We start from the raw sequence: 13,048 nt of genomic DNA, 5'->3' as shown, positions 1-13,048 counted from the left end.
TAGCAATGCAAGAATGGCCTAATATCATAGGCTATAGAATTTTGCATATGTAATTTCATCTACTATGTATATTCTGACTCAAAAACCAAGAATAGAAAAGCAGTTCAAGTAAAACCACAGCTGCATTTTTGCCTGCCTCTAGGTATGTGAGCTTCAAAGTTGGAAGAAATTAAGCAACATGCTTTGGAATCTATGGTGATCTATAGAAAGGCAAAGTTTCTGGACTCACCCTGACTGATGGAAAGACAGACTGCCTGCCAGGACACTACCCTGCTGTACCCAGTCTTAAGTATAATAAAGATCTCATTTTTTACTGTCAATGCAAGCCACATTTTCCTATTAGGAAAATGTGAATGAAACAAAGTGCTCTTCAAGAGCAAACCCTGAATTATATTTTGGGTTATTCTCTGTTCCTCAAAAGGATTTTGCATCTAACTGATAGTCTCCAAATTGTAATGACAGTATATAGATAGCTTGGTGTAGACATACAGGTCAATACAAATGGAGAAAAGGCAATTTGCCATTGAAGAATATGTTTGCTTTAAGTAAAGATCAATATACTAAGAAAGCTATACATATCTAGACTTCCAAAAACAGATGGGAATAAACTACTCAGCAATCAGAATATTCGAAGATGGCACTCTGTTCACTTCCAGAGAAAATAGTTCAAAACTGTATCTCAAAGTGGATATAAGCTATTGTACTAGAATTAGTCCCTGTGTGAGCATTTGGCATTATAAAATAAGATGTTCCCAATTAAAAGATCACTGGTATGTAGATAATAAAACGTGAAAATAAAAATTTAAAAATAAAACAAAAATTATGTGATAATCAATTTTGCACTCCTTGGTCCTTACCATTATTATCTTGTGGTCAAGAGTTTGCAGTTGAACTGGTTACCTATGGTGGGGCTACACAAGGACATTTACTTTTTATTCTACATACTGTGTATCATTTGAATTTTGGACAATGAATGTTTATTCAGGTATTAATTTTAGATTTTATTTAATTTAGAAAACATTTTATAGTTAAAATAAGGGCTGCCAATTTAACACACTAATGTCAGGGTCTAAGTGGTAAAACTTGAACCTAAAATAAGAATTTTTATACTACCTATGATAAATATATAATATAAGAAGATAACTTATATAAACAAAAGTTCAAAGGGGATCCACAAGTTATTAGTAATGGTTATGTCTAGAGAGTGGAATTATGGACATTTATTTTCTTTTTTCCTTATTTTCTATAATTTTTTACATTATGTATTACATACTTTAAATAACTTTAAGTACTTACTGCTTTTGTACTTAAATATATAAAAAGAAAAAAATATAATTGTTACTAAGAAAAAGGTAGATGAAACACATTTTGGTGTATTCATACAATACAATACAGTACTAGCCAGCGATCAAAAAGAATGAACTCAGATACATGCAACGTGGATACATCTTGAAAACATTTTAAGTGAAACAAGCCATATGCAAATGAGTACATCCTGTGTGATTCCATTTATTTGAAGTCTGACAACAGGTCTACAGCCGTACTACCCTGAATGCACCTGATATTGTCTGAAGTCTAATAACAGACTATAGGAAAAACAGATCTATTGTGATATAAGTCAGGAAGTGGTTGAACGGTGAGAGACAGGGTGAGAAGTGATTGCAAAGGGGCACAAAGAAATTTTCTGAGGTGATGAAGCTGTTCTGTATCTTGTTTTGGATGAAGATAACATAGGTGTATAGAATTGTTGAAGCTCATTGAACTGGGCACTTAGATCTGTAGATTGTATACATAGTATATTTCAATTAAAAAGATTAAAAGGAGTAAATAAAACTATGTGTTTCCCTCAAAATTTTAATTTGAGGGATTTCTTTGGTAGAAAGTCACCCGCACTTTAAGAACAGTTTTGAAAATTAGGGAAATGCTATAAAATATAGCCCAGAAGAAATTCTGTAAAAGACCCAATTGCAAATTAAAAACTTAAGCCTATCCATATGAGTTTTTTTTTTTTTTTGAGACGGAGACTCACTGTGTCACCCAGGCTGGAGTGCAGTGGCACAATCTCGGCTCACTGCAACCTCTGCCTCCCGGGTTCCACTGCGCCCCACCTTAGGATAATATTTTATATGCATATGTACACCAAACACTTATGATTGGAGGAAGGCATGTTGTTAAGGTGAGACTTAGGGCTTTTGTAATGATGTAGTATAAAATTATTACTTCTAAAACGTAGTGAAGGCACATAACGAAAAGTTTGAGAATAAGCTTCATATTATGATTAAACAAATTATTAATTTTATATATCAACAGTTCACCCTGAACATTGATTAATAAATACATTTACAAGCATTTACTTGCTTTATGGCCTAGGTTAAGTCACTTATATCTGGCTTTTAATTTCCTAATCTACAATGAAATATGTTGAATTTAAACAGCAGTTTTCAAACTTAAGCATGCATCAGAATCACCTGGAGGGCTTGTTAACATAAATTGTTGGGACCTACCCCCTTGAGTTTCTGACACAATAAGGTCTGGGGTGGGGCTCAAGAATTTGCATTCCTGACAAGTTCCCAGATCATGTTGATGCTGCTATCTGGGAATCACACTTTGAAAACCACTGAATGAGAACTATCCTAAGCTGTATCAGACAACAGATCAGAACTTCTGCAGATAGACAGAAAAGCACACCAATGAAGAACTACTTACAAAATCTATGTTGAATTTAGAGAACTGTATCCGCATGTGGAACAAGATTTCTAAATATTACTGTGGTATGGGGTGTTTTGCACTATCTCTGTTTTGACCTCTAAATTTTGCAGTCACCATAGTCACTTTTGCACCCCCTGTGTGGCAACTGGGTTGTAGTGTTTCTAAGACCTACTTCTGGGCTGAGAGGGAGTTTCCAAAAGAATTGGAGAGGTGGAAAATCCCCATGTCCCAAACCAGTTGTATTAGGTTTCACTGCCCTAGTTATGACATTGGAAATAGCTATTCTAATTACTAAAAACTATGCACCAAAAGAAAAATGTGATTCTGGCAGAGAAACTAAGGCAGATGAGAAAATGCAAGAATGTCAAAGTAAAGCCAGTTAGGCTTTGTGGTAACACACAGGCAGTTGCGTGATTTCCCTGTGCTCTTTGGAAACCTTTAAGAAGTCAGAAACAATCATGCTTTCCATTAATTAACAACACAGCATCTTGAAATGCTTGTTTTAAAGCCAGGAGATTTCCGGTTCATCTGCAGATTATAGTAGTATGCTTCTCAGCAAAATCCATCTAATAGTAAACATTAGAGTCTTTCAAGTTATTAAATACGCATAGGTTGTTAAGTAAATTTTAAAGTATTTGTTAAATCAATCAATGAGCAAGAATGCAAACATACCTTTTTTTCTCTCTTCAATGAGCTTTCAGTTTAGTTAAAAGGGAGAAAAGGTGCACGCTACAGTTAGAACAATTGACTGGTAAACTAAATGGTACTGAATTAAATTTAGTGTGAATACAGAAAAAGTAGAGGTTAGTATGGGCTGGTATAGTTGAAGGGACAAGAGTGGCACTTGAGATGGGTGTTAGGATGAAGAAGGCCAAGGAAGGGACTCAGCAAAATAAAATAGCTTCATTAAAAGCCACGGAACTTGGGTTAAACACAGTGCTAGCCTGTAGGTAAAGAGAGATGTTGGGGATTTTTGAATGACCAGGTTCATCCATCCATACATCTAATCCTCTATAGTTGTTCATTCAAAGAACATGTATCAAGAGCCAACTGTAAGCCAGACACTATGCTATGGAGTGCCTTGCCAATTAGAATTTGGTTAATGTTTTGACAAAGGCAAAAGAATTTGGACTTAATGTTATGGATTTAAGCAGACAATGACATGATGAAAACCTTTTTTTAGGAAGATTACCCAGGCAACAGGATGGATGGTACTTCCTTTTTTTTTTTTTTTTTGAGACGAAGTCTTGCTCTTGTCCCCCAGGCTGGAGTGCAATGGCACAATCTCGACTCACTGCAACCTCTGCCTCCCAGGTTCAAGAGATTCTCCTGCCTCAGCTTCCTGAGTAGCTGGGATTATAGGCATGCGCCACCACACCCAGCTAATTTTGTTATTTATTTATTTATTTTTTTCAATAGAGATGAGGTTTCACCGTGTTGGCCAGGCTGGCCTTGAACTCCTGGCCTCCCAAAGTGCTGGGATTATATGCGTGAGCCACCGCGCCTGGCCCTCTGCTTCCCTCTTTTCTAATCTGATGGTTAAGCCCTTAGCATTCCCTTGACTCTGGAACTTTTGCAGAGCAAAGAGCAGAGGCTGTTTGAAGCCAACTGCATTTCTAGACTTTTATGAAATTCTAAGCCCACTGCAAAGATTGAGCCAGATGTCCCATTGGGGAAGAGAGGAGAGAGAAAAGTTTTTGAAGTCAGCGAAGAGGAGAGAGTGACATTTCACACAGATGGAAAGAGACTGGAGGTCAAAGAGTAACAAGTACCCACCTCCATTCCATATCAGTGCCCTGGAGAAGCAGCAGGACCTCAGAGAGGGAAGTAATGGGGTGACTTGGAGAGGCTGCACTTTAGCAGGGGATTCTGGCTCCATAAAAGGTTAAATATAGCAAGCTTCTAGGGTTGGCAAAACCATGCTTACTGAGGCAGGGGTGGTTTAGTGGCAGATCAACGATCAGAGTAGTCTCCTTGGTGCTTTGGTACCAGGTAAAACCTAGGGACCTTTAAATAGCTGAGAAAGTAGGGAGAGGAGGAAATATCAAACGTATGAAATTGAATTTCTCACCATCCTGATTCAGACAGGGGCTTTAAATTGATGACTACCTTAGATTTATGAACTAAGAGTCATACACTATGAACTTTTGTTCATTGGTGCTCAGTCCTAGACCCTTTTCACCTCTCTATTCTCTTCTGGTGTCATCTCATCCTTTCCCATCTTTATACCAGTGGCTTCCAATTTATGTTTTTATTGTAGAATTCTCATCTGAGTGCCACTCTCAAATACCTGGTTACCTATTTGATATCTGCATGTGGATGTGTCATAGACATCTCAAAATTACCGTAGGAAAGACTGATCTCCTGACTGTTGTCTTCCCCTTGTTTAAAGTGCCTCCCTTTCCTCCTAATACTTTATATGAGGAGTCAGAAAACTATGGACTGTGGACCAAATCCAGCCCCCACCTGTTTGTGCAAATACAGTTTTGTTGGAACACAGCCATGTTCATTCTTATGTGTTGTGTGTGGCTGTTTTTATGCAACAATGGCAGAAACTTTACAGCCTGCAAAGCTTATTTACTATCTGGCCCTATACAGAAAAAGTCTACCAATTCCTGCTCTTTGCTTTCTTCAATGTATTTATCACAATTTGAAGTTATATATTTGTTTCATTATCTGCTTATTTATCTGCCTCCTTCCATAGAAGGTAATTCTCTAGTGCCTACCATGACAGCACCATTGCCTAGTCATGGTAGGCACTCAATTGTTATTGAATAGAATGTATGAATGAGAAAATGAACTATTATATATTAAAATTTTATTTTGGTCTTTTGCCTTAGCACAAAACTTTCATCCTTCCTTACCCTCCAATGACTTCATATCTTTGTTTTGTTTTGTTTTTTTCCGAGACGGAGACTTGCTGTGTTGCCCAGGATGGAGTGCAGTGGCACTATCTTGGCTCACTACAACCTCCACCTCCCGGGTTCAAGCAATTCTCCTGCCTCAGCCTCCCCAGTAGCTGGGATTACAGGCACGCGTCACCACACCTGGCTAATTTTTGTATTCTTAGTAGAGACAGGGTTTCACCGTGTTGGCCAGGCTGGTCTCAAACTCTTGACCTCATGATCCTCCCACCTCGGCCTCCCAAAGTGCTGGGATTACAGGTGTGAGCCACCATGCCTGGCCCTAATGACTTCATATCTTAAGTAACAAGAGTGCTAAAATAATGAGTCCCCTCAATTTCTTTGCCCTCTACTCTATCCTCCTTTCAGATTAATCTTTCTAAAACAGAGCTCAGATATCACTCTCCCTCAAAGAAACCTGGAGACCCAATGACTTGTCCATTAATCCTAAACTTCTTTACCTGCTTCTTAAAGTTCTCTGAATCTGGCTCCACTCTATTTTTCTGTCCCCCTATATTCTATTCCTGCTACTACTTCTCTACCCTGAACTTCCCCACCTCTATACTTCATACACTTGGAATATTCTTTTCTATCACTACCACCTCCACCTATCAAAATCCTATCCACCCTTCAAGTATTTCCTCCAAGCTGCCTTTCTGAGTACCACCAAAAGACATCTTTCTCTTCTTCCATCTTCCAAAATACTTTTTTGTACCTATAGTAACTTGTATGTCATTTCTCCATACTGCGTTCTCCCCATTAGCTGGTAAGCTACTTAAGAAAAGGAACCACAGCTTTCTCATCTTGGTATCTGCTATGGTTTGAAAGTTTGTATTCCCCTCCAAATTCATATGTTGAAATCCTAACCCCCAACATAATGGTATTAGGAGGTGGGGGCTTTGGGAGAGATTAGTGTCCTTATAAAAAGAGACCTCAGAGAGTTAGCTAATCCCTTCTACCATGTGAAGACACAGCAGGAAATCCATAAACCAGAAAGTGGGCCCTCACCAGACACTGAAAATGCCAGTGCCTTGATCTTGGACTTCCCAGCCTCCAGAACTGTGAGAAATGAATTTCTATTGTTTATAAGCCACTCAGTCTATGGTATTCTGTTATAGCAGCCTGAGTGGACTAAGACTGCTTCTGAAGTATTTGGAACAGTATCTTTCTAGATCTCAATAATCATTGAATGAATGAATAAAGAAATGCCTTTCCTTTTCATATCTACTTAGTAAAATCCTACTCATTCCTCAGAGACCAAAATCTTTGCTTCTGACCCCAGTCCATGATGATTTTTCCTTTCTGTACTGCCTTGTATTTTTTTCATCAGTGACTTTCTCCTATTGTAATCTCTAGAAGGTAGAGACTAAATCCTGCACATCTTTGTGTTCTTCTTCCTTCACCTAACAGTACCTTGTGCATTACAAGTGCTCAGTAAATATTTTTGATTAAGTTGTAAAGCAGCTGCCTATTTTTCCACTTCCTTTGCTGCTCAAAAGGATTAGAGCAATGATTGCTTTAGCTGCTAAGGCCTGCTTCAGAGACACATTATTAATGAAGGTTGTCTGGGAGACAGTAATGTTGAACGGGGATTTGTAAATGAGTCTCCAGCTTCAACATTCATCAGCAAAAGAAGGGGATACTGAAAAGCTACTCTAAAAAAAAATCTCATATGAAGTTGTCCGGAGCTGCCTGAGCTACTAATCACTGCAAGGTTTTCAGTCTCTGCCTTGAGCATTTAGAGCACATTCTTGCCTTAACCTCCAAGTCAGATCTCTCCATGGTAACGCAGGAATGTTTGCTATTTTAGGAAATATGCCTCACTGCATGCAGTACTATTTACATTAAGTTCCAAACAAGGCATAAATGCAACAGCTTGACTGTGCTAATTTGTGTGAGTGGGAAGGTCTCACTTACTTAATGTGGGCCTCTCCCTAATTGTGTTATCCTGTCTCATTTTATAAGCCAACCACAGTGAGATTACATGTTAATAAATTTTGCTCATCTTATACTGAAGGAGAAATGCAGAGAGAGAAAAAAGGCGACAAACAAAACAAGAATTCCTCCAGACCTCCCTTTGCAAGGGCATCATTTTTTCTGCCTTCACACCCTCCAGGTCTGGTTTCATTTAAAACCTTCATTGAGATGAAGCTTCTAACATTCTGTAGAAGGAAATAATATCAATAACTGAAACAATTGCTAGCTTTTCCCTGCAACTTTGTAGATACCTTTACTGAGGAAGAGAAAAATGCTTTGTAAACTTTATTAGATTTTCTGACTCCCTAGTGAAAAAGATGTGGACAAGATGTCACAGCCTCACATCAAAAAGCTCCTCAACACTCTGATCACACATACTATTGATCTGAATGGACATCAAGAAGGATTGGAAGGAGATATGGAATGATGTCAGTCAATGGCATATCTAGTTGGTGGTACTTTTTTTGCTTTACAAGAAGTTAATTATAGACGTTCATAAATACTGTGCAAGTGCACTCCCACTAAAATGAATGTTGTAGAATGTTTTGGTAGAATGGAAAAGGAAAACAGCTAGAAAGACTGTAAGATCAATTAAATAAAATAATCTTTATCAAAAGTGTCTGTCTTATTTGAGAGAATGAAGACTCTGAAGTGAACTTCCTGTACTCAGATATTACAGTGAGTATATTATACTCATACTCCAGACTTTCATACTGGGATCACTTGAGAGATAGTTATCTGTGGGATGTGGAGTAAATTAGCGTTCTTCACTTGGACAATTCAGACCTAGAAGTGCAAGATCTGTGAGCTCTTCTTTCTTCTAGGGCCCAACTGTTTGTGGTATTCTCAGTTGTGAAGTATAGGTGGAATTAAAGGAAGTGAATAGGTCTTTAGAACTTAAGCTCCTCCATACTCCAGCTGAATCAGTGAGGGATTCCAGGGATGGCTTCACTGGAGATGAGGAGATTCTTTAGCCTCTGAAGAACAGGCCCAGAGCTTAGAAATTGAACTTTTACCTTCCACATTGTAAGGGTCTTTCTTCTGTGGTGACAGTTGGCATGGCAGACAAGGTTTGAGTAGAATACAGTGGAACTATAACTGTTACAGTGAAAGTATACTGTTAGCAGAGAAGGATAACACCCACAACATAGGCTCCAAGTGTCACAAATAGCAAGGTTCACCATACATTACCTATGCAGAGGGGAGAGACAAAGTGCTTTGTAATTGGTTTTATAATATTCTTTTCCCCAACCAATTCAAAGAACAGACTTGACAAAGCAGTTCATAGCTGTGTCAGATTATGATTTGCTCTCTGAGGAGGTGACATCAATTATCTCAGATGCTCTTCAAGCAATCCTCAGTTTCCACGACAACTAGGATTACCTTTCTAAATGCAAATCATATGCTTTTATTCCCCTTGCTTTTTTTTTTTCTGGTGCCTACAACATGAAGCCCTTAGCTCAACATTTATGGTACTTTCCAGCTATATATTTTATCATTCTCCAATACTTATTTTTGGTAACATCGATTACTCCCAATTCCTTAGCTGTGTTCCACATCACTGTATATATTGCTCCGTTTCCTATTTTCTGCCTGGTGTATCCAGTCTTTAAGGCCCAACAGAAGGGTGACCTCCAGGTGAGTTCCTCCTTGGAGTTAATTCCTTTCAGCTGTGGGTTCCTTTAGCACCATGCGTGTATTTCTGTCTCCTCATTTATCACACTGTATTTTAGTTCTTTGTTTACATACCAGTCTTTCACTGGACTATAAACCTTTGGAAGGCTAGGACTCCCTATACTAGTGGTACTCACTGAGCAACTGTCTCATCTCCTAGAGAGCATTTTGAAATTTTGTGGGGGTGTTTCTTGTTTTTGATGTTGTCACGATGATAAGTGAGGCAAGGGATGTTACAGGACAAAGTATTGTACCAAATTCCAAATGACTTTTGGAATTTGAATGTTCCATTGGGTGATGATAAAACTGTTTACAATCATCTGAACCTAGAACTTTATATAGGAGCATGATGTTAATTTACACTAAATTTTTCCATGAATTAAACTACTATGTAAATTGAGGGAAGACACTACCAGTCCTTGGGCCCAATTTTTTTTCCCATAAGACGTAGACCCAAAGGGAGAAACAAGGAAATATGCTATGGGAGGCTTTCTATTCTCCACACTTGAGAGGACCAACTATCAGCGGCCTCCTGTGGCAGAGCTTTCCAACTTGGGTATTCCAGCACAGTGTACCTCAGCATGGTCCACCACTGTGCAAAGATGCTGATCCCCTCAGCTCTCAGGGTGGTGCATGGGTCCTGAGGTGGCCATAAGCAATTGCCTCAAACCATGAGCAGCCATGGGCACTTATTTCAGAATACCATAGATGTACACTCATTTCCTATGAAAATGAATTTTCTATGAAAAAGGGTAGGAAACATTGTCTTATAGAACAAACAGCGCAATGTATCAGGTTTTGAAATGTACAACGTATTGGGTAATAACAACAATAAATTTTTATTAGGCAATGTTTAAAAAGCATATCAATTTAGTACAGTTTATATGATTTGATGCATTTCTTCTGCCCAATGGTCATGCAATATTATCCCCTGGATGCTGTACTTATTCTTGTTCTAAGCATCCTTTTAGAGTAGAATATAAATAATTTAGTCTCTTTGAAATTATAATCTTTTGGTTCTTTAAGTCTGTTCTGAAAACTGGTACCAAACCAATTCCTTAATTAGCATTGAAAATACTGAACTAAATATATTCATTTCAGTGCTTACCAAAGATGATGAAAATAAGTATATGTACAAAATATTTTAGTATTTATGTGCCTGTAAATACAAAAGGAGCAATAAAAGTGATTTCATTTCAGAAGGTGAACATTTTGAAAGAAATAATATTCATGTAAATTCTGAACTAAAATAGAATGAAATAAAATTCTGAAATAAGATAAAAATAGAATGTTAGCATTATAGGAAACTATAGAGATTATTTGAGCTAATCTTCTCATTTTATGTATATGGAAGCTGAGAAGTGACATATCCATAGTCATACAGCTAATAAATAATCAGGATGGAATCGCTTCTCGGCCTTTTGGCTAAGATCAAGTGTAGTATCTGTTCTTATCAGCTTAAATAATCAGGATGGAAATTCAATTCTTCTTATTCTCAGTTGAGCTTTTTCTAATTAAATGTATTACGAAATATTTTCAAGAGTCCCTTAAGAAAATTTCCACATATTTCAACATGTATCTTGCAAAAAGCCTATGAACTTCAATTTGTATTCATACTTGTAAAATTATGTTCACACATTATTTCTTGAGTTTGTTAACCAATGCTTTCCAACCAAAATGGAGCTGCAGTCTAAGAAGTTTGTAATTGTGGCCAAGATAGTAATTTTTTCCTGCCCTCATAGTGGCCTAAGCACCCAAATTGGCCACCTCCAAGTGAGAAGCTTCATCCATTTACCTCTATACCTTACAAATATTATCATTTGCCATGAAATGGAAAGGTTGGGAAGCAGTGGTTTAAACTAATTCTTATCATTGCTCTTTTATCTTGACCCCAACCTTTCCATATGTGAACCAGTAAAGTAAACCACCCACATTTTGTCTTATCAGTAGTCTAAGACCAGTGCAAGAATGTAAGGATACCAGGTAATTGCTTTTGTTGTTTGGGTGCAGGTATATTCTAAAGTTCTTTTAGAAAATATCTTTTTAGTAAATTAAAAGTTGAATGAAGGAGAGGAGTTCCCTTCGAGGTAACTTCCCAGAAAATCAATGCAATTATTTTTTACCACAGTGAGTTCTCTTTTCAATATTAAAACTACATTATGGCCAGGTGTGGTGGCTCACGCCTGTAATCCCAGCACTTTGGGAGGCCAAGGCGGGCAGATCACCTGAGGTCAGGAGTTCGAGACCAGCCTGGCCAACATGGTGAAACCCCATCTCTACTAAAAATACAAATATTGCTGGGTGTGGTGGCATGCACCTGTAATCCCAGCTACTCGGGAGGCTGAGGCAGAGGTTGCAGTTAGCCGAGATCATCCCACTGCACTTCAGCCTGGGCAACAGAGTGAGACTCCAACTCAAAAAAAAAAATTTTTTTTTGGAGGCAAATTTCTATCATTATCTGATACACTTGTACGGAAATAGTAATCACCATTTCAACTAGTACCCAGCACATTTTCAAGGACCTGGAAGGTTCATACTCCAATATATACAAACAGAGAATATGCCTAGCTCATAGATGATCAATAACTGTTTATTTGAACCCATAGTTTGTGTACTTCGGCACAGTATTTTACAACTTAACCCTCAAAAAAACCCCTAAAACATTGTATGTTCTATATAATTATAAATCACTTGATGTGGCTGGCAAATTCTAAGGTGGTCCCTATAATTCTCACCCACTGGCCATCACATCTTTGTGTTATCCTCACCCCTTGAGGATGGGTAGAACCTGTAACTTCTAACCAATATGGCAAAGGTCATGAAATGTCACTGCATAGTTATGCTATGTTATATGAAAAAAGTAAAGAGGTCATATAGATGTAATTAGGGCTGCTAATCAGTTGATTTTAAGTTAACGAAAAGGGATATTATGCTGGTGGGCCTGCCCTAATGAGCCCCTTAAAAGAAAGTCTAGAAGTGAGAAAAGTAACAGACTCTTTCTGCTGCTGGCTATGAAGAAGGAAGCTGCCATAACTTCTACAGCTACACAGCAATAAATCCTTCCAACAGCCTGAGGAGCTTAGAAGCCGATCCTTCCCTAGGTATGCCTCCAGATGAGAAAAGAGCCCAGTCTACATCTTGATTTCACACTTATGAGACTCCAAACAGATCTCAGCTAAGCCATATCTGGACTCTTGACTCACAGAAACTGTGAGATAACAAAAATAAGGTGTTTTAAACTGCTAAGTTTGTAGTAATCTGTTACACAACAATAGATAACAAATACACTTAGATATTAAAAAGCAGGGCTTATGAAAGCATGAAGCAAGTGCTTCTGGATGTACTGACCAAACCTTACCTGCACTTCCATGCTAGTTGGCTCCTCCAACAGATGTAGCAGTTGTTGTTTCTCCCGAGATAGCTGTTCTACAAGCCTCTCCTGGGCAGCCAGGCTCTGATTCAGTTCTTCAATTCTCCTGAAGCAAAGGAAAAGTAAGGACAGTAATTATGATCATGATACTATTATTACCTTATTTTTTCAGCCCATTCCAAAGATAGCATGGTCTAGTATAGCAGGTTTTTATCCTTTTGGATCATTGAACCTTTTGACACATTTGTTTAGAAAACCATGTATTTTCTGCCCAGCCCCCAAATATATACACAAACAACTTTTTGCTTACATTTTCACCACGTTCATGGACCTCCTGAAGTTAATCCATGGATCTTTAGACCATAGGAATTTAACTCTTGGAATAAGGGCCTAGAATTTTTTGGTGGTGGTGGTA

At 38.1% G+C, this 13,048-nt stretch overlaps 1 protein-coding gene and 1 pseudogene across 34 annotated transcripts in view, besides 2 other annotated features; one reads left to right on the top strand and one right to left on the bottom strand.

The window, feature by feature from the left end:
* Positions 1-13,048, bottom strand: part of PDE4DIP (phosphodiesterase 4D interacting protein) — a 224,583-nt gene that overhangs the window by 82,531 nt on the left and 129,004 nt on the right. For 31 of the 34 annotated variants that reach the window (NM_001377392.2, NM_001350521.4, NM_001395298.1 and 28 more), the window contains one exon: positions 12,622-12,739. In NM_001377392.2, the coding sequence (NP_001364321.1) occupies positions 12,622-12,739 (118 nt within the window). Of the gene's footprint in view, positions 1-980; positions 8,688-12,621; positions 12,740-13,048 lie in introns of those variants that run through there. The other 3 variants (NM_001395325.1, NM_001395326.1, NM_001395327.1) reach the window with 1 other exon arrangement.
* Positions 2,331-2,832: an enhancer, noted in NCBI's record as "OCT4-NANOG hESC enhancer chr1:144936334-144936835 (GRCh37/hg19 assembly coordinates)". NCBI's record gives its function as "activates a minimal SCP1, AML or CMV promoter by ChIP-STARR-seq in primed H9 embryonic stem cells {active_cell/tissue: H9 hESC(primed)}" and the evidence as "EXISTENCE:reporter gene assay evidence [ECO:0000049][PMID:30033119]".
* Positions 3,760-4,536: an enhancer, noted in NCBI's record as "H3K27ac-H3K4me1 hESC enhancer chr1:144937763-144938539 (GRCh37/hg19 assembly coordinates)". NCBI's record gives its function as "activates a minimal SCP1, AML or CMV promoter by ChIP-STARR-seq in naive H9 embryonic stem cells {active_cell/tissue: H9 hESC(naive)}" and the evidence as "EXISTENCE:reporter gene assay evidence [ECO:0000049][PMID:30033119]".
* On the top strand, positions 10,669-10,725 carry RNU2-38P (RNA, U2 small nuclear 38, pseudogene; annotated as a pseudogene).

This window comes from Homo sapiens, chromosome 1, assembly GCF_000001405.40.
Source record: "Homo sapiens chromosome 1, GRCh38.p14 Primary Assembly".
In the NCBI taxonomy this organism is placed as follows: Eukaryota; Metazoa; Chordata; class Mammalia; order Primates; family Hominidae; genus Homo; species Homo sapiens.
This window is presented reverse-complemented; position numbering and strand designations above follow the sequence as displayed.